Source organism: Homo sapiens, chromosome 6 (genome assembly GCF_000001405.40).
Source record: "Homo sapiens chromosome 6, GRCh38.p14 Primary Assembly".
In the NCBI taxonomy this organism is placed as follows: Eukaryota; Metazoa; Chordata; class Mammalia; order Primates; family Hominidae; genus Homo; species Homo sapiens.
The window spans coordinates 14,183,446-14,210,201 of record NC_000006.12 but is presented as its reverse complement, the minus strand read 5'-3'; the positions used below and the strand labels follow the sequence as shown (position 1 = coordinate 14,210,201).

The following is a 26,756-nucleotide window of genomic DNA, read 5'->3' as shown; positions in this document are numbered from 1 at the left end:
CTGTGATACCGTGCTAAGGTGTTATTATAGAGACAAAAATATCTCAGACTGCAGGATCTAGCCATCCTATTCTTAAAGTTCCCTAGGGAAAGATGTTGTACAATATTCTTTGATAACCTACTACAAATGCTAACCACTTTAAGTACAATATAAGAACCTTCTGATCCTAGGTTTTATTTGTTTCTATTTAAACTCATTCAGGGTCAGGCTACCCAGAGGGCAGTTGAACACCTGTCCGGTGGCTTATGGGAATGCCTTGCACGATGTGCACTTCCCTCCACCAGGATCAGTGTGTCTGCTGACACTGGGGACCATGCCTGAGACATAGGTACAATTGGGCTGTGCCAGGGCAGCTCAGAGAAAGTGATCCACTCTGATTCAGACCCTGCCAGCTGAGTTACTTACTTCCCTTACTTCCTTTTTTTTGAGATGGAGTTTCGCTCTTTTTGCTCAGGTTGGAGTGCAATGGTGCAATCTTGGCCTACTGCAACCTCCGCCTCCCAGGTTCAAGTGCTTCTCCTGCCTCAGCCTCCCGAGTAGCTGGGATTACAGGTGCCCACCAGCATGCCTGGCTAATTTTGTATTTTCAGTAGAGACGAAGTTTCACCATGTTGGCCAAGCTGGTCTTGAACTCGGATCTCCAGTAATCTACCCGCCTCCGTCTCCCAAAGTGCTGGGATTACAGGCATGAGCCACCGCACCCGGCCACTTGCTTCTTTTAGAGAGCAGGCTTTGTGCACCTACCAGTGTTGAAATACACTACCTTAATGGTTATGCTTCTCCAAATTTGATATAGTATTTGATTTTTAAATGTACCATACTCTTGAGTTCCTGACCAGTACACTGTTTGAAGGATGTCACAAGGACGTGCATTTGAAAGTCTGAATCCACAAATATGTATTGTGCTCTAATTGCCAGGCCTGGGCTTAGATACTGGGGATACAGCATTGCAGCAGGGAATTTGCAGAATGAAATGGAACCGTGAAGAAAGGAAATGAAAATAAATCACCCTGTTTCCATAGTCACCTCCCCCACACTAGTGGACTATTCTCTCTTAATCGGCTCCCTCAAACTCCTGCCTCTAGGACCTTCATTCTCTCTGACTTCTTTGATCATGGAGCAGTAAGATCACCATATGTTGGATATTGTTAAATAACATGATATGTTGGGAAAAGTCATGCACTAGGAATGAAAAAAAAACATACAGCTAGCTTCAGCCCTGGCTCTGCCACTTGACAAAATCCATAACTTTCTACAAAACTTTAAGATCTGAATCTTGGAATCTTAGTTTCCTAATCCCTAGAATGGAATAAAGAGTCTTACTTGGCAACTCCACAGGTTCAAGATTCCAGGCCTCAGTTTTCTCATCTGTAAATTGAGGGGTTTGACCTAGATTTACAGCTTGCAAATTTTCCTTAGAAGTGATTCCCCATTTATAACAAAATCCAACATAAAACCCCAACATATAAAACAGATAAAGACAGACTTGCTTTAATGGCCCTGAGGCAGAAAGCTCTGAGTCCTATATACTCTCTTCTCCTACCTTTTAAAGGCCTTGAGGCATCTGTGCAGAACCCTGGGGTTTCACTGAACACAGTTGGAAACTCACTGTGCTAGGTGATTGTTTTAAAGTACCTTCCATTTCTAAAATTCTATAAATCAAAATTTCCTAACATTGTATATTTCTATGATGAGATTTAACCCGTTTTCTTTCTTCATTTATTTAATTATGTTATAGGAGATAGTCGCAAGCTAAAACCAAAATATCTTTCATCACTCCCTCCCTATTTGTAAAGCCAATCTCTCTGCCACAGGGAGGAAAAAAGATGTTGATGGAACACGTATGGTGTAATGAGAAAAACACAATGGGGATGAGAAGATATTAGTTCCAACCTTGGTCCTGCTTTTAACTAGTTCCATAACTAGTTAGCTTGATCAAGGAATCTTATTAACCTACCTAAATCCAGAAAATTAAGAGGTTGGGTGACTTAGTAATCACAGTCATGCACATGAGCATTGCGGGAGCCTGTGCCCTCATGGCCTTCCTTAAATAATTCAATTCCAACTCAGCCTACAGGCTGACTTGCTTTATCAACCTTTCTTCAATATATATATCCTCACCCCAGAGGGAATGAAGGGTGAGAAGACAAATTAGGTTGTAAGTGACACCACCAGGACATCAAAATAGAAATATCAACTCAATCATTGTTATGTTTGCACAGATGGTTCAAGCCCACAGCACGCCTTGACCCCAGCTCACCACGCAGGAGGCACATCTCCATTAAGACAGGGTTCATGCAATATACACGTTCATAAGGGCAAACTACAAAATCTTAAAAACCCCAGAGTTTGGAGAATGTTTAAAGGAAACAGTCTGGGTTAAGGACCCAGGACCTGGGGTTCAACCAAAAGGAATGACCCCACAAAGGACAAACAGTATGATTCATTGCCTCTGAGTGTGCACATCCTGGGAAAAGGCAACTTTAGGGGTGGACACAAGAACAACAGCTCTGGTCATGGCTGTGACTTGGTTATAAGTTAACTTTATGGGTCACTGAGTGTCTGGAAACAAACTATAAAAAGAAGAAAGGGTGGCCCAGGCAGCTTTCTGTTGGAAATGGCTGTGACCAGTTGCTTCTGGAAGGGAGATGTATTGACTGCAATAAAACTTGATAGGCTCAGCACTTGTCTGTTAAGGCTAGAATCGGAAGTCAACTTTGGACCTGAGTAATTGGTATAAATTTGTGTATAAGGGCAAGACAGAAGGGATTTTATTCCAAGTGGTCAACAATATGGTGTCCAGCTGCTGCATATGATCTGCCTTCTCTCTGACCTCTAATCCCACGAGACTATCTGCATCATCTGGGGTAATCCTAATATCCAAGCAAGTGGATACACTTTCACTGTCACCACACTGGCTTTTGTTTTTTCCTTTAATCTTTGCTGTTCTTAGGAATAGCAGAACATTTAAGGTAAAAATAAATAAATACATCATAGAGACTTGCTATTCTTAACTATGTCTGTTCTTGGGAAAACAAATTGTACACAATGTTAACTTCTAGTCAATCATCCTCTTTAACTTTAGTGTCATTCGGTTAGCCGACAATTATTAAGCACACACTTGCACATATCCAGTGTCATAGAGTCCAAAGTTGTAGGCAATAAATATAAAACAAGATTATGCCAGAAATGCTTCAAAAAATACACATCATGTTTTATACTTAATTATTTTTCAAGCTTGGTGGCGGGAAGTTCGGGGTGGGGGTGGTGCATTGTAAGTTGTACTCAAAGTATGATGTAGAAAAGCCTTGAGCTGAGTTTCAGAGGCCAAGAAGCTCATTTTAAATATCATTATCTATAGCTGTGTGGCAGCTGAACAGAACATCACATTTCTGAGGCCCAGTTTTTTCATCTGAAAGACAAACGAGGTCGAACTGGGTCATAGTCCATATCACAAAGCTTAACAATAATAGTAGCCAATATTTTTTGAGACAAGCACTTTGCTTTATCAGTTACTCCTCATAAGAACCCTATGATGTATGCATTACTATTTCCCCCATTTTTCAGATAAGGAAACTGGGTTTTGAAACTTAACCAAGGTCACACAGTGAGTAAGTGGCAAATCTGACATTTAAACCTAGTCTTTCCCAGCTCCCAAGTTGCGCCCAACTGTTTCACAATACTGAACTGCCTGAGAGTTTATCTAGGAAGAAGATAAGATTTTTTTTACTTATTCAGGTTTTCACCTTGACTCCCTTAGAGCTGCAAATAGAAGTCATCCCTCCATTGGCTAGCACAATGGGATCTTCAGAGACTCTCTCATACGTGGATGCTGAAGGAAAAGAAGGTGGAAATGGCTACCTGGGGAGAAAGGAGGTAGCTTCAGGGAACACTGTGCCCACTCCTATAAGGTCTGAGTAGGAGACTAGACTTTTGCTTAGTGACTGTGCCCCAGAATTCTAGATCTACAAGGAAATGGGCACCCAGAAATGACAGGTAGGAGGGATAAGGGGAAACCAATGATGCCTGGCCAAGACCTTTCTGTCACTTCTTCTCATAGACCCCTTAGACCAAGCCTGGCTTCTGAATTTCCCACAGCTGTTGAATCAACACAGGGCCAGGTATGTACCTGAGTATAGATAGGAAATAGCAGCTGAACCCTGCTGAGGAAGCTGGGGTGTCCAGAACAGTGGATGACGTGGCCCGATTTGATTTCTGGTCCCCCACACCTGAAGTCACTGCTGCTGCATGGATGCCTGCAGAGTGCTCACGAGCTCCAACAGACAAAACGCTATGTAGGGCTTACATGCTGAGTGACCAGAGACTCGGAGCCTCTGGAATGAAAGGATCCCATTAATGCAAATAGGATCTAAAGATAGTATCTCCATAGATACTCTGTAGTCCATAGTCCCAAAGGAATGTTTTGGCTTCCACAAAAAAAATAGCACTTTATACGGAGAGGGACAATGTGGAGCCAAAGACAGATTACACAGAGTCCCTGCTCTTGGAAAAACTCAGTATCTCTTGGGGTACACCAGGGCACCCCTTTGGGACTGCTTGGGTTAGTCTAGTTATCCCAAGACAAGAAAAAAAGTACATGAGAGATATGTGTGACTGTTTTATAAAAATACACACGTTATTGACATATACTTAATGGATTAAATAGAAAATAATCAGTTGAGGAATGACAACTTCAAGAAATTTCACATTTTGTCTTGAAAATACTGGAGGTGTTGGCTGGGCGTGGTGGCTCATGGCTCTAATCCCAGCACTTTGGGAGGCCGAGGCGGGTGGATCACCTGAGGTCAGGAGTTTGAGACCAGCCTGGCCAACATGGTGAAACCCTGTCTCTATGAAAACACAAAAATTAGCTGGGCATGGTGGCATGCGCCTGTAGTCCCAGCTACTAGGAAGGCTGAGGTGGGAGGAATGCTTGAACCGGGGAGGCAGAGGTTGCCACTGCACTCCAGCCTGGGTGACACAGACTACGTCGCAAAAAAAAAAAGAAAGGAAAAGAAAATACTGGAGCTGTCAGGAACAATAAAAATAATCTTATCCGTTATCGAGAAAAAGGAAGCAATTATGCGTATTCTCAAAAATAACAGTCAGAAGAGTTAATTCTCCATGTCTGGTCTATATTAGATTAATCTTGAATTGTATTTCAGATGTAAATTACTCTTCCTCCAATAAATTCAATTTTACGGATATAGGTGTACTTCTCTTCCAATCTATTTTTGATTGCTTGAAAACTGCCCCACATTTTGCTGACCACACATAGATACTATGAACCCCTTTGTCAGCTGCCTGAGGTGATCATCACCATTTGGGGACTCCCGCTTGAGGAATGAGTGACTGCTCCAGTGGAAAGAGGTCTGACTTAGACACTCCAAGACCAAGAATTGAGTCTAGCTCCGCCCCTAACTAGATGTGAACTTATAGACAAATTACATGGCCTCTCTAGTTCTGCATACAGTAAAGAAACAAAATTAGATTTCTTTTAGCTCTAAAATTCTGTCCTTGCCTAAGTCTGATGAGCAGAAACAGGGGTTCCTTTTGCATGAAAACACTGGGCCTACTGGGAGGAATGGTAAAAGGACTCTGGGGACTGGAGATGGAGCCAGGGACTCTGGAATCAAGCACACAAACAAATGCCAGGGGCAAAGACTACCCCCCAATTCCCAGGAAATTCCCTGGATGGATTTCAGACAGAAGGAGACATTCCTGCTTTTATCCTGGAGCACACATTGGGGACTGAGACAGCTGGACAGTTTGGGGTGAGACATTGGATAGACCTGTTTGTTGTCCTCTGAGTCAGCCAAGGATACTTTCATCCAGGGACAGGACAGTTGTGTTTTGCTTGTTTGTTCATTTTTTAATGCAGGAAGAGTGAGACTACCCTTTGAGGAGCTCAATAAAGAAAGATACATATGGTGAAAAATACCCATCTCCCATCCCAGTGGCCGTAGAAGCTACTTGCTGGGTTCTTGCACTCCCATTGGCTATGATAGGAGCAGAGAGTCAACATGTGCGCCAACAGCAATGTCTGATCCCTTGGAAGATCTGTGTTGAGAAGTAAGGTAGTAGCAGCAACAGAAGCAACTGCAACCAAAGAGATGGACCCAAGAAAATTTTCACAGTTTCAAAGGCAACATAGGAGTCCTCAAACCAGCTACAGGAAGAGAGGAGATTTGGAAGAGAGGAAAGAGGGGTGCCAGTGACTTGGTGCATGGATGAGTCACACCAATGCTTGTTCTCATTCCCCCTATAATTACTATTTGCGATTCACCTTCCATGGGTTCCTGGGGCCTGGTAGAGAAGGGTTTTTTGCTAAAGCCAGCGTCTCCTCCAGCCACCTATTGGCAGGGCTTTGTCATCCACTGTTGCACTTCCAGCCTGATGTTGACATCTCTTCCACCTTCTAGGACTTGCCTCTGATTTGAACATCCAAGAGAGAAAATTTTTTCTCCCAATTTGAACATGGGTGTCAAGGTGGCTAGAGCCAAGTTTGTTCCCATCACCTGAAGAAAATACCAAGACTTGTAGCCTTTCTATTGCCTATACGACAGATCCATGTACTCAGCAGCTGAAGTGTACAAGGAGATGAAGAATTACTTAAATTCACCCAAAAATGATACTGTGTATGTGCTATTTCTAGTAGCCTCTCTCTTCCTGCAACTTGCTAGGTACTTTGGTATTACTCCATGTGTTTGTAATGACGACATTTCACAAGGGGCAAGAATTTCCACTCTCCAGTATTTATTTTATACATGTCACCCCCTTTCATTTTCAACACAACTAGGCAACAGCATTATCCTAGTTTTACAAAAGTGGAAACGGAGGCCCTGGGAGGTAAAGTGCCTTCCTTAAGCAGGAGAGCTGACAACTACAGCAAGTTCTCCTGATTCCAGGGTCTGTGGCCTCCTTCCACCCGACAGTAGGCAAGAAACCAAGTGATCAAGAAGAAGGCTTATGAGCCGGGCCGCAGACGAAGAGGTGGCAAGTGCAGGCAGTTTACTGCAGCGTCGGAGAGTGACGAGTTGGTGCGTAATGATTTGCCATGTGGACAGACAGGCTAAAACAAGGATATTCTTTGTATCTGAGCATCCTTTGTGTATAAAACATAAACAAGGCAGGTACAGACTTGTTTCTTGGGAAATCCCGTCCTGTCCCTGTGGGCTTCCTTCATCTTCTCATCTTATCCTCACAATGTTCACTCCTTGGAGTCTTCCCGTCCACCAGCGCCTGCCTCATTCAATCCTTGAGCTAATGGGAGCCCAGAAGGATCCTGACAGTGCCATGGGACAAGAAGGAAAAGAGAGAAGGGCAAAGCCACAGCACTCCAGAGGACCCTCTCCCTCTCCCTGTGTGAGGCTCCCATGCAGCGCTCAGGCCCCGCTTCTCTTCTCACCACTCAGCCCCTCAGGGGCTCCGTCATCATGGGGAAAGATGAGCAAGCCTTGCTAAGTTGCATGTTCTTCTCAAGTGCTGGCTTTCTGCATGCCATCCCTGTGAAACAGGAACTTTCTAGAATGTGTCTCACTATCACTAATGGTAAAGTGCTCAGAAAAACGTTCAGACGGAGGGGGTGCTTGTTTCTGGGGCAGGAGGGCAGGGAACAAGCTGCAAGGCTGTTCACTCCAGGCAAGAGACAAAACCCTGGAAAGAAACCAGAGGCTGGGTGAGTGAGGAATCAGGAGGCTGGCGTGAGCTGAAGAGATGGAAGGACAGTGTGTGCGCATACACGTGCACGTGTGTCTGTGTGTATATGAATCTGTATGTGTGTCTGTGCATGTCTGTATGTATGTCTGTTTATGTGTGTCTGTGTGTGTGTCTGTGTGTATGTGTGTCTGTGTGTGTGTTTCCCTCTATGTATATGTGTGTGTGTATCTGTGTGTCTATGTGTTTCTGCATGTCTGTGTCTGCATATCTGTGTGTGTGTATGTGTCTTTGTGTCTGTGTGTCTGTGTGTCTCTGCGTGTGTGGGGTGGAGGGCACTGGAGCAGTGATGGTAAGGGTTAATGGGAGATGATCAAGACTGAGAAATGTTCTGAGCTGGAGGATGGCTTTCAAAATTTCCAAAATGCTTGAAAATTCGAACTGGAATGCTGCTCCTGCCACCTGACTGCATGCCTGACACCCCACGCCCCACAGCTCGGAGCCCCTCTCAGCAAGGGGCCCCACAGCATCCCACAGAGATTCCCACTCAGCTGCCTGTTCAGAGGACTCCTCTGGTCTCTGCCAGTTTCCTGCGAGATGCTTGCACATCCTGAGACCCCACTGCTTCATCAGCAACATGGGAATAATAATACCAATATCCACTGCACAGGACTGGTGTGAAAAATGAATGCATGAACACAGAAAAAAGCACAGTGCCAGACACATGGGAGGGGATCATATGTTTTTGTTTCTGAACACTGAGTGGGTGACAGCCATGTGGCAAGAGGAGGAAAGCGTGGAGTTGGGGGCCAGACAGACTCTGCATCAAGACCTAGTTCTCACCTTTCTCACTGTTTGGCCTTGGGCAAGCCCCTGAATCTCTCTGGACCTCAGTTCCAGCCTTCCTTCCACCATGGCTCCGTTATGAACCCCACCTTCAGCTCCAGGACTAATCCACCTGCAAAACCCAGCCCCCTTGCCCAGGGAGATAGGGAGAAGCCACCAGCCAGGCGGGAGAACACAGATCCAGAATTGAACTCATGACCTCAGCTCGTCTTGCCAATGTGAAGCATGTGACTTCATTTTGCAGGTCAGAAGAGTAAAGCTGTCCATGCCGGCTGGACATGAACAAGGAGGCTGCCATCCTATGCACAGCCCCCTACATGGCTGGTAGCCATCTTGTGATCATGTCAGAAGCCAGGCTTGGGGTGATGTTGACTCTGAGGAGGCCAGAGAGGCAGGTGGAGCCAAACCAGGGGATATTGTGTAGCCACTGGATCCAACCCCTCCTGAAGCCAACCCATCTCTGGCCCTTTCAGTTATAGCAGGCAATTAAAACCCTGTTGTGCATAAGTCAGTCTGAGCATGTTTTCTGTTGGTTGCAAGAAAGATGCTCCCTACTTACCACCTTACACCTTACACTGTGATACGTTGCCAATTTAAGCCAGAGTTTTGGTGATTGTGTCTGTTTCAAGAAGACTATCCTCAGCTCAACTCAGGTCCATCTAAATCATCTCAGAGGAAAATTCAAAGCCCCAAGTCCTTCAAGGTACCCAAGTCTCCCCCTCCTGGTTTCTTTGCTGCCCAGGTGCACAAAGTGTGTCCCAGAGTCTAAAGATAGATGTGGATCAGCTATGGTCTGGATGTTTATGTTCGCCCGAAATTCATGGGTTGAAATCCTAACCCCCAAGGTGAGGTTATTGGGAGGTAGGGACTATGGGATTGTTAGGTCATAATGGCAAGACCTTCGTAAATGGGATTAGTGCCCTTATAAAAGAGGCCTGAGAGACACTCCTCGTCCCTTCCACCATGTGAGCACATGGCAAGAAAGTGCCATGTATGAACCATAAAATAGGCCTTCTCCAGATATTGAATCTGCCAGTACCTTAATCTTGGACTTCTCAGCCTCCAGAACGGTAAGAAATACATTTCTGTTGTTTATAAGCTACTGTATTAGGCCATTCTTGCATTGCTATAAAGAAATCCCTAAGACTAGGTAATTTGTAAAGAAAAGAGGTTTAACTGGCTCATGGTTCTGCAGGCTGTACAGGAAGCATGGCGCTGGCATCTGCCCAGCTTCTGGGGAGGCCTCAGGAAGACTTCAATCATGGCAGAAGGCAAAGAGGGAGCCAACATATCACGTGGCCAAAGAAGGAGCAAGAGAGAGAGAGTTGGGGGAGAAGGAGAAGGGCTACACACTTTTAAATGACCAGATCTTGCAAGAACTCACTCAGTATCATGAGGATGGCACCAAGCCATGAGGGATCTGCCCCTATGACTAATCACCTCCTACCATCAGGGATTACATTTCAACACGAGTTTTAGTGGGGACATATATTCAAACTATATCCACTACGAAGTCTATGGTATTTTGTTACTGCAGCCTGATTGGACTAAGACAGGATCAGAGTCCATTTTCTACTCAGAACCCTCCATAAAACAACAGACGTCACTGTGAATAATATGCTCTTTGTCTCCTCTACCACTGTATTCATTAGCTATTGCTGCATAACAAATTACCCCCCAACATTACCAACTTTAAAGAGTTGGAAATGTATTAAAGTGTTACCTGAGGGATCTAGGAGTGGCTCCTCTAGGTTGTTTTGGCTCAGGGGCTTTCATGGGGCTGCAGTCACCTCGAGACTCACCCAGCGCCAGTGGAGTTCCTTGCAAGATCACTCAGGTAATTGCTGACAGAACTCAGCTCCTTATTGGCTGTTGTCCAGAGTCTTCATCTCCTTGACACATGAGCTTCTCCATAGTTGCTCACAGAAAGAGAGAGAGATCCCAAGAAGAAGCCATACTCTTTTATAACCTAATCTTGAAAGTGACATACAGCCATTCCTGTCATATTCTAATTGGCCACACAAACTAGCCCTGGTACAACGTGGAAGAGAGTTATGTTGTGTGAATACTCGGTGTGAATACCAGGAAACGGGGCCATCTTGAGGGCTGGTGGCTACAACCTCCATGGGGCCTTCCTGGCCCTCACTCTCCTAGTCCAGCCATCTCACTGAGTTTTCCTTCTCTCTCCTCTTCACCCAGTTCTTCCCTCAAAGCAGTGAACTCTCTTCCTTAATCCTTGTCATCTGTCCCTGTCTACGAAGTCTCACCTGCCCCAAGCAGACATTCCCAAAGGCAGTTCTCTCTCCAAAAAAATTATTAGTAACTCTTTTAAGAAATGGAATGTTTTTATCCTGCTCTACTATCTATATATGTATTTATAAATCTATTTATTCTTTCTTGATAATAAAAGGAAAAACTTGAAATAACTGTAAAGCACTGACCATTCCTTAAATCCTTCTCCCAACTTTCCCCACTCTCTACCCAAGACCACGGTGCTCTTTTCCTGTGAGAATTATTCATCCTTGGAAATTCATCCTTGTCGCTGTAACTTCCCGTGCCTCATTCTATCCCAGCCATGTGGAAAGACAGCATGGCTCTTAAATAGGCTGGGTCTAGGGAGCAACACCAGAGAGTAGCTCCTCTTCTATGCCAGGAGATGCAGACATCATGAGCTTCACTCAAACATAAATGGAGGTGGCTGGGCAGAGACAAGCGGTTTTTCTCAGGTGCTGCTTTAGAGGAATAAAGTCCTGAGATAGAGGGGAAGATTAACACAGTAGATCATTGATCCAGGATATTCAAGACCTAATTTTCATGTTTGCATGTATTTAGCCAATATCACTGAACATCCATTAGGTACCAGGCACTATTCCATGGCCCAGGCATACAGCAGGGAACAAAGACATCCAAAATCCCTACCCTCATGGAGCTTATGTTTTAGTAGGTAAAGCCCAGCAATAAATACATAAATATATACTAGGCCAAGAAGAAAAATAAGGCAACCCAAGTAGAATGTCAAGATGATGCACTGTATTAGACCAAGTAGTCAGAGAAGGCCTGATAACCCATTTTTGCTTAACTTTATTTTCAGAATTTAGATCTATTGACTCCAAAGAGTATAATAATTGAACAAAAGGTATTTTACCAGGTAAAGAATGGCACATAATATGTGACATAAAGAATGGTAAGAAATAAAGGAGTTAAAAAGAGTATCCGTTAGAAAATCCTTTATATAATATACACATTATATATCATTGGAATCCACCAAAAAAGTATTAAAAATCATTCTGTATCCCCTGAATACATCTGGATTTACCTTAAAACAAAAATAATATATTACAAATAAAATACAAAACATTTAGTGATGGAAACAGATGAATACATGTCACTTATCAATTCTTTCCTGGAAAATTGGGATGTTCAGTGCACATCCACTTCCTAAAAGATGACCGAAACAAAAAAATCATGTTATAATAAAAAATCTATGAAATTGCTCTTCACTGAGAAATCCTTCTTGATTGCACAGGGAGGAATGGCAAATTCACTTATCCTCAGAAGTTGTTAGTGCATTCAGATAGAAAGGGAAGAGGACACGATAGCTCTTTCACAAAGATCCATCTGTATCATTTTTGGCCCTTGCTATGCTTTTCTTTCCAAATTTCCTATTCAGCTTTTTTTATCTGATGAGTCTATTGCACAGTAGTCAATGACCAATGTCCTGTGAGTTTGCAAGCCTTTCACACGATCAAACGGCCTCTAATGGAGTCATGTGTGGCCACGACCACTCTACCTGACCACACTGAATTGCCATCAGCCTGCTCACCTGTTGGGACAATCACCAGGCACCATGTGCCTTGGCAAACTGTCCTTGGAATTGGCATTTAAGAAAACAAATGGATGAGAGCTTTACATTTCTGTTTGGAATATTCCTATGTTTGGGCATCTACATTAGGAATTGGCTATAATATCATAGTGTTTTATGATTAACAGAGCCATCTCCTCTGCTTTCACTCATTTAATCTTACAACAGCCTGATGAAAAACTGGGAGTTGGAATTGCCAGTCAGTGGCCAAAACCTTTTCCTTTTATGCCTGCCGCCATCCCTAGATGGCATTTCCCAGCATCCCTTGTATGTAGTGGTGGCCATAGGACTGAGCCACTTTCTGGTCTACAGAAACATCCTACAGGAGTTTTCCACACTTCTTCCCCTTCCACAGCAAACCTGTGGAGGTGGACGAGCCACAGATGAAAGGGGCTTCAGTCTCTAAATTACCACAGAGACTGGAGCTACCGGCCAGTTAGGAAGACCCACTCTGAGAAAAGAAAAGAAAAAAAAATGTCTATTGCATCACCCTGTAGATATGTGAGGGTTTTCTGTTGTAAAAACTAATGTTACTTAAGAATGTGTATTTCTCCAGTGTTTCATTATTAACACAACAGTTTCATATACTTTATCTCATGTCAGGAAGCTGGGAGTTAGTATTTTTGTTACACGCCCCCTTCCTTTCAAATTGGGCATACTAGGGCTCAAAGATGCTGAATAATGTATCCAAAGTCACACAGCTGGGAAGAGGTGGAATTTGATGTTTTATTTAGGTCTGGTCAGACCCAACCCTGTGGCCTTTCCACTAGATCATGATAATTTCACAAAAGTTTAGTGATGACACAGGTCTTAATGTTCTAGGTGATTTTGTAGGTATTGTGCAGAGGGAAATAATTAACCAGCATGCATTTGCTATTGGTATTCTTCTGGTTCCAAATTTAGGACTTAAACCATGTTCAGTCACTTGCTCACTGCCTACAGGGCTCCATAAATAGTTTTATGCCATTGTTCTTTGGTAAGATGCCATCTGTCTACTTGACTTTATTGTTCTAAAATCTGATAGAACACTTTAACCCTTTCCTTCTCCCTCACGTTCACAGCAAAGGCTTGCATTCTTTAAAAAAATCATTGGATAAATATTCAGTGTCCTCTAGGTGCAAAGCACTATTTATGATGCTGTGAGAGATATAAAAATAAATAAAACACACAATAGAGTGGTTAAGAAAGTAGACTCGGTTCAACCTTGGAAAGCTGAAAGAAAAAGTAAAAAAGAAGAAAAATTTGAAAGAAAAAAAAAAAGACAGTATACTCTGGAATAAGTGCCTGAATTTAAATACAGTTTCCACTTCTTACTAGCTTTGTGACTTTGGACAAATTATCAATACTTAGCTTCTTTGTTCCTATGTTTCTTGCCCCGTGGAATGGGGATAGTATTGTTAGCGCGGCTGCGAATCTGTACGAATCTGCAGCATCTCAATTCTTGCCTCCTCAGCAGAAAGAATTCGACTGAGGGCCAGAAGGAGAGACTGAGGTTAAGTTTTAGAGCAGGAGTGAAAGTTTATTAAAAAGCTTAGAGCAGAAACAAAAGGAAATAAAGTACACTTGGAAGAGGCCCAAGTGGGCAATGAGAGATCAGGTGCATGGTTTGACCTTTGGAGTTGGAGTTTTCCATGTTGGCATGCTTCCGGGGTCTTGGGTCCTTCTCTCCTGAGTCTTCCCCTGGGGTGGGAAGGGTGGGAAGAATCACAGTGGCCTCTCAGCACTTGTGAGGGGAGCATGTGCAGTGTGTTTACTGGAGTTGCACGCATGTTTACTTGAAGTACTCATCTCTTACTAGTCAAATGTACCTAGGAGGTCATATACTAGTTAAGCGCCGCCATATTGCCTCTTAATGCACATGCTTGAGCCCACTCGCCCAACTCCTGGCATCTTATCGGGAAGCTGCTGATCGCCAGTTTCAGGTGTTTGTGTTTATTGGGAGACTGCCTTTTCCCTGGTGCTGGCTGCGAACAATTATTATTTTAGAGAGACAGTTAACAACCGCCTGACCATCACCTGATGGTTGCCTGACATTTTTGGTGGGGGGGCGGGGAAGCCCTCTCCTGCCCTGCTCATGCCTGACTGGCTACCTCCTGTAACAGTATTAGTGCCTACTCATGATGATGTTTTAAAGATTAAATGAAACAACACATATAAAGCACTTAAAGGGCACTTGGCACCAAGCAAATGCTCAAGAACTGTTAACTTACTCTCAGATAAATGAAAGAGATATACCTAAGTGTTGGCTATGAACAGTTATTGTATCAGTGCCATCCACAAACGCAGACAGTTATGCGCTTCCATTTTCCTCTTACTACCTAAAATTACCAAGATCTTGGTGCAATTTTTCTTAAACCATAAAAATCTCTTTCCTTCATATATCAGTGAATAGTGCATTTTAAAAATTCTCCCATCTTTTCTGTATTCAGGCACTCAGGAAGGAAACACACACTCTTTTTTTTTTTCTATGCCAGGCACTATACTAAGCACTTTACATCTGGGTTTTTGGTTTTGTTTTGTTGTGTTTAATCCTCTCAACAACCTCAATTTCTCATTTGCAGATGAAGACCCCTAGACTTCAGAGAAGATGATATCTAAGTGTCAGAGCTGGGATTCCAAACCAGATCTGTCCAGCTCCGAAGACTGAGCTCATAACCCTTAACACTAATCCCCTCTCTGACCCAGCGCTGTGATTCTAGGCTAGTCTGATTAAAGCCCCAGAATTTCACAACCTTTTAAGAATACAGTCAAGAAAGAAGAGATCATTGTTTCAACCTGCCTCTGAATCGTAGTAAATAACGGGCCCTGATATTAACAAGGCAGCTTCCCTCCTAAGTGCGAAGGACCCTTGAAAAGGGTATCTTAATCATGGGTGTCATATTTTATGATTGTGTCTGTTTGTATTTAGTACACTTGTTATCCTTGATGTTTTCGCCCTGAGGACATCAACTGAACAAAGTTGCATACATCTTTGTGGATTACCCTTTCTGCATCCATAAGTTATCTGCTCTTTTAAAATAATTTGTACTAAAACACCGAGAGTTTTTTCTAATGGGAATAGACAGCTAGTGTTTTTTTAATGCAAATGACTTCTCCCCACATTCTCCCCAGCCCAAAGCTAAATCTGCATCAGCATCGGAGGGGCTCGGTGCTTCTAGAAGCAATTTAGGCACAGCAGTTGGGAATGGCAGTGTGACTTAAAGCCCCTTGCTCCGTATTAGGGAAAGCTACATGCGAATTCCGAAAGAGATTCCATAGGATGAGCAGAGATGTGTTCAGGGCATTTATTATCATACTCGCTGCTCTTGTTTTTAAGAAACCAGCTTCTGTTCAGGTGGTTTTGTTTGTATGCAAAGATTAAACTGTTAAATAAAATCACAAGCACCGTCTATTGTATCACAGAGTTTCATTTTCTCCCGGAGCTGAAACATTTTGGTTTTTTTTTTAACTATGACAGTATTTCTGAACTCTATCTACAGTGAAAATCAAAAAGCCCGATTTTAACTTACACCTTATTCCAGCACTTAAACATATGAAGTTATGAGTTGCTAAGTGTGTACCCTTATTTAGCTACTTCTACCAGAATAAACCAAATCTCAGTTCAGTATAGTAATAGACCTGAATATTTAAATAGAGAAAGAGAAATAAGCCCTGCGCTGAGAAGGAAAGCTTGAGTATTGCCGCCTCTTGGCTAAAAATAAATCTATTTCTATAGATCCTGTTTTTATACAACTATAATCCTTTTTTATATATACAACTGACTTTGGAAGAAAAAATTATATATAGAAAAAAACTATTTTAAGACTAATGAGACGTTTGAGAAATTGGGCTCCGCAGGCAAAAGGCAGCCCACAGAAAGAATTATGCAGGACCTCAACTGTTGTTAGGGTCATAATTAATAATTACAGTTAGTTCTTAAGCAGTAATTGCTACAGTGCCACTTCCAGCAACATTCTGGCCAAAGCACCCCACCCAGCACAGTGGCTCCCGGCCTGCTAGCTGTTGGACAGCACAGCTCCTCTGTGGTGGGAATGGAGACAATTTACCCTGGGAACCCAGACTAGGGGAGATGTTAAATCATTTGCAGACCATTAAATGATCTGCACCCTGGGGGAGCAGGGAGTCCTGGAGCAACTTTCTCATGCATTCCACACCCCAGCCTCCCAGGCATTCCACACTGTCCTCAGTCCACCCTGGGACTCTTCAGCCTCTCCTGTACCCTGCAACCTGTCCTTATAAGACAGGGACCTACCACCTCGGCAGCTGCTCTTTCAACCATCTCCCTCCACTCATTCTAGGCACCTACTAGGAATTTTCCTGGGTTTCTTGATTCTACGCCCTGTCTTTAGCTATCCCATTTAGTGTATTTCAAGGCGTGCTTTGCGGAGTGCCCACGTCGTGATCAAACCATGGCCCAGACCCACTGCATTGGAGCCTCAAGAGGTCCTAGGGAAAGGCGCTTTATAGTTACCTTCCTGCCTTCCCCTGACTCTAATGCACACTGAAGATTGAGATGCACTCTACTCATCAAATGACTCATTTACCTTTCTATCACAGACTGCTCCCCTCTTGCTTTTTCTTCTCAGGCATCACTTTTTCGATAGCTCATTACCATTCCCAAAAAGAACTCTAATAGTCTTTGGTCCTCCCCTAAAAGCCTTCCGTTCTCCTCAGTGTCACTCCCTAAACTCTTTCCCATGGGCAGACTCAAGGGCATTTTAAATTCTACGCTTTCCTTCTCTCCAACTTTAAAAGCAAATGCTTGTATCATTTAAATAATCATTCTTCCATCTCACTGAAATCTCTTCTAGACTCTTGGGCACACTGACAATCAGAGTACAAACCCAGGTTTTCTCCCCTGCTTTCAGGAGGCAGGGACCCTGGGATCAGTCCAGGTGGCTTCCTATCAGGAAGATGGTGCCTGCTACCTCCTCCCAGGCACACCACCACCATACAAGGCTTCAGAGCAGTGGGCCCCAGTCTGTCTCTTCCAGCCATTCCAGGGTGTATCCCCAAAAGGAGGATTGGTGGATTTGTGTTATGAACAGCATATGAGAATGCCAAACATGTGAATGTGCCAATCTGGTATTAACCCCCCACCAGTGTTCCTTTCTGCAGTTACACATGGATTACTGGCAGCCTGAGATCTGTTCCTGGGAGCAAGAGTCATGCTCTTCTGGACTCCTGGAGATAGCCAGTGTGGGATGGACAGATGCTTTCTCTCTGTCGAGTTCCCAGGCAGGGTGCTATCTACAGGTCATGGAGTGGGAGGGTGATCTTGGCTGGTTGGCTCTTCTCAAACCCCTCCAAAGCCCCTTGGGTAAAAGGAGTATTAAAAGTTCAAAGGACAATCGTGAACTTATTAAAAAAACTTTCAGACTGCTCATGAGTTATGAATATTAAAATTAGGATTGTTCCCATTTTCCTCTTTGTTCCCAGGGCAATGGCTCCCCCAGCTGTAAAATAGAGGCAGAGGAAGAGCAGCCTGCATTTAGGCATATAAGGGAGCTCTTGGTGCATTCCAGCTTGTTTCTGGAATTGCGGTATCTACCACCCCAGAGAGATATTTTTTTTTCCATTGTGGAATAAAATCCTTATTATTTTTCATACCAATCCCATGAGATAAGAAAAAGAAGAAGAAAAAGGAAGAAGAAGAGAAGGAAGAGGAGAAGGGATGAAAAGGTTTAGGGTCTGCAATTTGACCCCACATTCTATTTGGGACGAGATGAATTATGGAGGAGATATTTTAAGGTGCTGTTTCTGACCCAAATAGCCAATGGATATCCTTCTTTCTTGCTTCCACTGCTTAAGCAAAAACCAGCTGTGCTCAGCATCTGGAAGAGTGGTTCTGACCTTGTTTTATCCTAGTTGATTCCCACTGGCTTTTATGTTTTCCATAAATGATTGAAGAAAAGTTCTCAGTTGGAAATAGCAATAAAAACTTCCATAAATTCTTGGTGAGCACCAGTTTCAGGCAGCTCATTGGATTCTCACTCTGCACAGTCCCAAATTCTGTGAGACGGACTGTCCAAGATGCAAGGAAGGCCTGGATCCGGTCAAGGAGGAAGCCCAATAGCCCACGTCCACTCCTAGGTCTCACTTCTGGCAGCCACAGAATTCCTAGGGCCTCTTCTCAGCCACAGGTCCCATGTGCCATTCCCTCTAGGTTATTTTTCATCTCTAAAACTGTATTTTCCATCTATTAAGTGAGGATAGCAATAGTATCAACCTCTAGCCACTTAGGACAGCACCTAGCACATTATACAAATGCATTTTGATGATTATCAATCATTTATTTAATTTGTAATCAGGAAAATAAGAAATACTTATTGAGTGACTATGATAGGCATTTTACCTTCTTTGTATTGTTTAATCCTCCAAACAGCCCTACTAGGTAGAAACGATAATTCCATTTTACAGAAGAAAAAAATTGAAAAACATTTTGTGAAATTAAGTAATGGACCCAGGGCCTCTCAGCTTATAAATGGCAATGGAGGGGCTGTGCTAAACCATACCTGTGCTCTTTCCAACACTCAATAGTACCCAGTATTGAGAGCCTACTGTATGTTCTAGGTGCTGGGGGTACAGAAGAGATGACATGGAGAAGCGCCTAAATCTCACGGATAAAAGTACCACTTTGCTATAATTCCTAAATCCTTTAATGATTGGTGGTGAGGTTGTAATGAAAGAGCCGCCATCAGCCGCCTGTCAACTCCCGGGAAGGTGGTTTCCCATCCTCACGCCTCCCTACCCTCTGCTTATGTGAAGTTGCCTGCCTCAGTCTCTGTCACAGCTTTAATACTCTCCCTGCCCTGGGTATTGTAATACTCTCAGCTTCATTTCTATCTGTTGGCAAAACAAGAGCTCTGTTCAGACGAATTGCCTATCAAATTGGCTCAGAAAATTCATGTTTTACTTGGATGTGAACCTTCTCAGAAAGCCTGGCTGGAGGATTACTGCTCCCAAGGGCCCCATGTCTGAAAATTGGAGAGAAAGAAAGACAACACTCAACACGCATTAACAAAAACTGTGAGAAAACCAACCCAAAGTTTACTCGACCCTATCCAGCCTCCAGCTCACGCTGCACATGGCTTGAGCCACCCTTCCTTCAGAGAGGGAGCAAGATTTCAGATCTTCCAACATGTGCCTTCCTATCACATCTCCAGGGGCCCATTTGGCAATTTCAACTTCAACTAATAACGACATAAGGGGATTTTGCAAATTTATAATCTCCAAAATGTACATCAGCCAATATTCTATTTAATTTTTAAACTCCATTTCTTTCATTAAGGAGCTATTTTGGTTCTCAAGGGGGTCACTAGTTTTGTCTCCATTTTGACTAATTTAACACATATTATCAACTACTAGCTAAGGTTGTCTGAGCTGATGGGAAACTTTTAGTTCTGGCTTTACCCAGCCTTTCACCAGAATGAATCTTGTCAACTCCAATCGCATTTAATGGACTTTAAATGTGTTTCCTATGACATTTTCCAAAACCAAAATAAGCGAAAAGTGTTTTGCATTTCCCATAGGGTAGTGCTAACCTCACTACAAAATTTAGGGCCAAATTTTATCCACTTGAGGCTCTTTTAATAACCCAAAGCTATGGTCCTAGCTGAATCAAACCAACATTTATCTATCCCAAATATTTATCTTTCCTTCTACTATTGCCTGATATTGTTTACTTTTTGGTCAAGATAAGATTTTTCCTTCTGCTCTTTAGCAAAAGGGGCCATAGGCTCAGGGACAGACAATTACACTGTCAAAACTGTAAACTCGGTATAAGCTTCTGAAAGTAATGGAATGGAATTGTTTTAAGACCTTTTTTCCCCTAAATGGTTTCTGAGGGGACATAAGGTAAAAGGATAAATGTGAAGGCAGGATGGTTTTCCGTGTGACTGATTAGGAACAGAACATTTGTAAATTAATGCTATTTTTCAAAAACGGTAAATGGGGAATGGGATTGAGAGGTGTCTATTTTGAAATTGTCTTTACAACAGGATTTTGAAACTTTCTATTTCATGGCCAGTGAAATAGTGCATCTCCCATTTCATCGTGAAGCTGAGCAACACTGCAAACCCTGGGAGATGAATACAAAACGTGCTTATCCTGCCTCTCTTTCCTGTTACTTTTTCAACTAATTTTTACAAAAATTTTAACAAATTTTGGAATTTGCCGATGACCTCTTTGGTACCGAACGTGTCTGGTTCTTCTCTTAGTCTAATGCGATGGGAGCAGTGGAAGGGACAGGTATGAAGCCAAACGGGGAGGGAGAAAGAAAAGAGCAATGTCCACAAACATGGGTTTAATCAACCCGGGTTGGAAAGCCAAGGAAAACTTCGTTAGGCCCAGATAGAAATATTTTGTACCTTTCTGCCAGGCACTGTAGTTTATCAGAGGAACCGCGGTTTAGAAATCCACAGGCAAGTGTTATAAATTTGAGAACATAAGTTGGAGCCCTTCCCATTCCAATAAGCAGTTGCAGGTGTGGTTTTTATGAAATTGTATATTTAGGGATGGAGTAGGAGGGAGGGAGAGGAGAGAGTTGCATGTTCTAAGCAAACTGTATTTGCATACACATTATGCATGTACCCAACACACACTTGTGCAAAGATGATTAAATATGTTTCATGTTGGCAGCCTCTTACTGTGTTTCCTTAAAGCAGGAATAGCAAATAGGTTCAACTTGCATGCCAAATCCAATCAATTTGTAGTGGCTGTTTGAAGTGTTATGTTGAGAAGGATTCAGAGGTCATATCTGGTTCATTCAATGAATTTTTATTTTGTGTCTACTATGTTCTATGCACAACGGCAGGGCTACCCCATTTTATGACAGCAGAGGTACATTCCCATAGAGTATAATACAACTGGTGCCTCCTGGAGTGGTACCACCCAGCAACCCTGAGTCTCAGTGAGGCTCTGCGATCCGGGATGGATTTAGGAAGAGTGTAGTGACCGATTAGCAATGTCTGCCAGGGCATCAGACCAGCATGGGAGGGCAGCAGGTTGCTGTATGTTGCAACATTTGTGTCATATATTTGTCAACCCTGGTGAAGAACCATCAACAATATGCCCACTTCACTACATTACAAACTAACGTACTTTGTTCATCTGAACAATCCAGTGTTGTGTCGTGAAAGTGTTAATAATTGGGGCAGGGCAATGCACAAGGTAATAATAAAATGAAAGAATTGTCCTTTAGTATCGTGGAAGCAGAATAATGTTGGTGCTCCGGAATGTTTTGCCATGATTTTTCTCGAAAACCAGGGCATAGTGGAATTCCCTGTACTCTGATTTCTGTCATTTCCCCTCTACTCCCAACTACCTGTTCACTGGATAGCTGTTAGCTGTTCTCACAGAGGCGTCCATTGACAATTCTTGAATCCTTGTGTGGAAGGAACCTCAAGAGGTCTTTGGGGGTCATTCTGCTGCCTTTGGTAGGGCCACATCCCAGAAGGAGGATCTGTTTTTACCTGACAGGATTGCAGTTGAGGAGCCCTTTGGCCAGCCTACTGGCCCCAGGCCACAGTATTTGAGAGAAGTTCCTTCAGATGTGGTAGTTGGCCCATGAAAGAGAGTTAAGACCATGTTAGGATATTCCATTCTTAGCCAGGCATGGTGGCACAAGCATATAGTCTCATCTACTCGAGAGGCTGATGGGAGAGGATTGCTTGAGGCCAGGAATTCAAGACCATCCTGGGCCACATAGTGAGACCCTGTCTCTAAAAAACAAAATTTTAACATAAGAAAAAAAATGAATATTCCACTCTTCTCCCAAATCTTCTATAGGTTACTATAAGGAGTCAAGTGCAAAAATGTCAATTTTAAAGAAAGAAGATATGAATTAAACTTGATGACAGAGTCTCATAACTTGACCTCATTAATTGCTACAAAATACGATCATTTCCTCATCTTTTTCCTATGCCTACTTAAAGGGTGTCGAAATAAACAGGCCTCATAAATTATTAGAAATTCTCTTATTTTGCTTTGATTCATTTTGAGGAGCTTGTTTTATGTTTTATATTTCAGCTGATGCTATTTAGTCATGCAAAAAAATCATTTAGCTATAAAGTCTATTAGGAATTCTTTCTCATGCATGCGTTTAATATGGCACCGTTGAGCACAGCTGTGAACAGACAGACTCTGGAAGTCCTTGTCTAGATGTGGCATCCTCTCAGAAGCCTTTCCTGACCCACCTTCCTCTCACTGCCTGGACTTCTCCTATTCCAGCACCTCCCACACTCTTGTGATTGCCTCAGACTTTCATGAAGCACTGAGCTCCCCGAGGCTCAATGAGACTTGAAGAATAATTTCCAACTTAAGGGCTTGTTTAGGATGAAAGGAAAACATGTTAAATGCCTTGAAAATGTACTTATCAGATATGCTTGTCCTTTCAACCAGTAGCTCTATTTCTAGAATATTTCCTAAAGAACTAATCAGACAAGTGCACAAATGTGTAGGTTCAAGAATATTCATCTCAGCTCTATTTGTAATGGGACAGAAAGAGAAAAAGAAAGAGAAGAAAATTTAAAAACAACCTAGATAATCAACAATAGGAAATTGGATCACTAAATCAAGATAGACGCTCACATGACTTATATAAATGCAGCCATTAAAAGTCATCCTGTAGACCAATGTTTCTTGATATGTAAAAATGTTCACAATAGATTCCTGAAAGAAAAATAAATCAGACTACAAAGGCCAGTCTAGGGCCTGGCCATCCACGGATAGAAGGAAAAGCCACGGATCAGCAACATCAGCCGCTCCAGGGAGCTTGTTAGAATGCTGAATCTCAGGCCCCACCCTAGACTTATTGAATCAAAGCCTGCATTTGGGGCCGGGCACCGTGGCTCACACCTGTAATCCTAGCACTTTGGGAGACCAAGGCAGGTGGATTGCCTGAGCTCAGGAGTTCGAGACCAGCCTGGGCAACATGATGAAACCCCATCTCTGCTAAAATACAAAAAATTAGCCAGGCATGGCTGCCTGTAGTCCCAGCTACTTGGGAGGCTGAGGCAGGAGAATCACCTGAACCCGGGGTGGGTGGGGGATGGGGGGGAGTTGCAGTGAGCCGAGATCACGCCACTGCACTCCAGCCTAGGCGACTCTGTCTCCAAGAAAAAGAAAAAAGAAAAATGCCTGCATTTGGGCAAGAGGCCCGAATGCTCTGAACACAGTAGAGGCTGAGAAGCACGGGGTTAGACCATGGACCACTACAGGTCTACAATGAAGTTTCTGCTGGTCTATGGCATCGTGAGAAAAATAAGGGCAATGTATTGGGTTTTTCACACAGTTAAATATATTTAACTTAGAGTCCCATTCTTTATTCTGAGATTATAATCTTGCTTTTATAAAGTTAAGCTTTCTTTCTTTTATACAATGATGGTGATTTTTGGATGGTAGGTTTTCTTGGTTGTTTTGCTGTTGTTTCAGTGGCCTTAGTTGGCAAAATAAACAGTTGGTATGGTAATCCTACGTGTTGTTTTTGAAACTTTACTAAGAAATCTGAGAATCATGATGAATACTAAAACACACCGCTTTCAAGTAAAATATGTGTGGGTGTGCGTTTTCAGGGAGGGGGGTGTAAATTACAAACATGTAAACACTGGTTCCCTTGGGGAGGTGTAACTGTGGACACTTTCTGCATTTTGTTTTCTTCTTTTCTGAGTTGCCCAAGTTTTCTGCATTTAGCAATTTAAAAAATAAGTTGAAGCAGAAGCTAGAGGAGTCTAAAAAAGACAGGGGTTTGGGTCAATAGCTTAGAAAGCTGTGTCTGTTTGGGAACTTGGGACACAGTGGTTATGCACATGGATTGTGGAGGCCCAGCGGCCTGGTGCCACCCAGTGACAGCCACTTAGGAGCCAGGAAACCTTGGCCAGGTCACTCAGTGTCCTTGCACCTCAGGTTCTTTAGCTGTAAGATAACTTATGATCATAATCATACCTAAAATCTAGGGTCATTCCGAAGCTTAGGTGTATTACCTTACCAGGATTGCTGAAACAAATTACCCCAAACTGGGTGGTTTAAAACAACAGAAATTCATTTCTTTACACTTCTGGAGGTTTGAAGTCCAAAATCATAGTGTGGGCAGGGCCATGCTCCCTTCAAAGGTTCTAGGGGAGAATCCAACCCCTAGAGAATCCACACTTCTTCCAGCGTCTGGTGGCTCCAGGCTTCCCTTGGCTTGTGGCTGCATCACTCCAATCTCTGCTTCCATCTCCGCAGGGACTTCTTTTCTCTCCCTGTGTTCTCCTCTCTGTCTTTTATAAGGACACTCCAACTGGACTTAGGGCATCCCTGGGTAAACCAGGATCACCTCATCTTGAGATCCTTAACTTAGACAAATCTGCAAAGACTCTTTTTCCAAATAAGGTCGCATTCACAGGTATGGGGGGTTAGAATGTGGGGATAGCTTTTGGGAGATACTATTCAACCTGTCAGTACAGCATATATAATTCAATTTAAAACAACAAGTGACACATAACAAGTGTAGATTTTGTCCCATTTCAGTTCCCAGTATCTGGGAAGTTTTTGTCCTAAAATTCTCTCAGCCAGGCATGGTGGCTCATGCCTGTAATCCCAGGACTTTGGGAGGCTGAGGCAGGAAGATCACTTGAGGCCAAGAGTTCAAGACCAGCCTGGGCAGCACAGCAAGATTCCCACCTCTACAAAAAATAAGAATTAGCCAAGTGTGGTGGCACATACTTGTAGTTCCAACTACTCAGGAGGCTGAGGCAAGTGGATCGCTTGAGCCCAGGAGTCTGAGGCTGCACTAATCCACGATTGCACCACTGCACTCCAGCCTGGACAACATAGGGAGACACTGTCTCTACAAATAAATAAAATAAAATATTCTTTAAAGGTTCTTGCTTGGATATAAGTCTCTTGCTTTCCAATGTCCAAACCAACTGAATTATTCGTGTTACTAACGATCTCCATCTCAAGAATCATAGTTTTAAAGAGCTCAGCATTTCTGTTTGCCATAGTTACCACTGAAAATAGAAAGAGAGGCTGAGGGAAGCATCAGAAAATCCTAAAGGAAACCTCTCTAGATTAACTATTAAGTATATTAATATTTAGTAAAAGTGAGCCCACAGCTCACACAAAATTCAGTTCATTTTTCCTTTCTCCAGGTAGTCACTTTACATTCAAATGACAAATAACTATTCCACAAAGAGCACAGGAGACTATTGATCTTAGGTGTAGAGCAGATTATCATTCAGGATGGCCTTCGTTAAGGGCACCATCTGAAGATGACTCATACAAAGAGACAACCACGTCTCTCTGAATGGTCCTCCAGACCTCATGGGCAGCCTGCTAGCGTCTCAGCCAAAGAGATTGCTGTCACCACCAACCAAGATCCCAACTTGACTTTAAAGTGCTGAAATACCAGTATTTCCTTGTAACCGTTTTAGGTCTTCATATGGGTGAGGATTTATATAAAGTTTTGCATCAGAAAGTAAGCGCAGTATTTGGCCTACAGCAGGCGCTTGGTTCATGTTTTATTCAATGAATGAATGAATGTGTTTGGGACTTGGAAAGAGTCAAACTTTAGAATTCATGGACTGTAGTTTCATCAGACAAGTTATGTACATCCTTCAAATATATGATTTTTTTTTCCTCCGAAATAGAGGTTTTCTTCTAAATGGGAAACTGAACTGCCAGGAGGGTAAATCATTTCCACTACTTGCCAAAGGGAGTCAGTCTGCCCTCTGATGCATTTCTAGAGTCAGGACTAAGCAGAGAATCTGCAATGCAGCTTCTTGAGTGTACATGGGATGGGAGGTGCCTAATCGCCCATGAGCTGCCTCTTGCAGGAAAGTAGGCATCACATCCACATGGCACCCCGTTTACTCGATTAACAGTACAAGGGAAGACACAAGACAGAATCCTTCTTCAAGCCTTCCTAAGCAGCCTTCGATCTCTGAACCACAAACTCACAAATTTTTCATAGAGCGATGCAGACTTTTCACGTGCATGTTCAGGAATACCTTTGTTGCTCTCACTGGCTGACTTAGGGACCATGCAGGAGAAACAACTTGTCAGTCACTCCCAGTATCTCTTCAAACCCAACTCCCCAACACTTAGTCCAAAAAATGGATGTCTCTACATGCAGACGTGGAAACATAAAGCTGTCATTTGGATATTTCAGATGGAAAATAATTATAGCTTCCTGAAAATTCAAACGACTAAGGCCGAAGCTGTGGTTGTTATTTGGATTAGCAAGAAAATTGCCTCGATTCTTCCCTCAATCTGCAGTCACCTATGAATGAAGGTTACAGTGACATCCTACTATTATTAGTTGTATCTCTCACTAGTGAACTCCAGAATTAAACTCTGTCAGCGGTGAAGCCATTTCGAAAGCAGACTTCCAGATAATTAGAACCAATAG

The 26,756-nt window shown here is 43.0% G+C and overlaps 1 long non-coding RNA gene across 1 annotated transcript, besides 2 other annotated features; it reads left to right on the top strand.

Annotated features, from left to right (window-relative positions):
- Positions 318-367: a silencer, noted in NCBI's record as "silent region_16943". NCBI's record gives its function as "represses an Ori minimal core promoter by ATAC-STARR-seq in GM12878 lymphoblastoid cells {active_cell/tissue: GM12878}" and the evidence as "EXISTENCE:reporter gene assay evidence [ECO:0000049][PMID:35858748]".
- On the top strand, positions 7,908-15,753 carry LOC105374940 (uncharacterized). The gene is made up of 2 exons (XR_926501.2): positions 7,908-9,572; positions 14,926-15,753. It is a non-coding gene; the product is annotated as an uncharacterized LOC105374940 (long non-coding RNA).
- Positions 22,518-22,718: a silencer, noted in NCBI's record as "peak5669 fragment used in MPRA reporter construct". NCBI's record gives its function as "represses an SCP1 promoter by STARR-seq MPRAs in K562 erythroleukemia cells {active_cell/tissue: K562}" and the evidence as "EXISTENCE:reporter gene assay evidence [ECO:0000049][PMID:32103011]".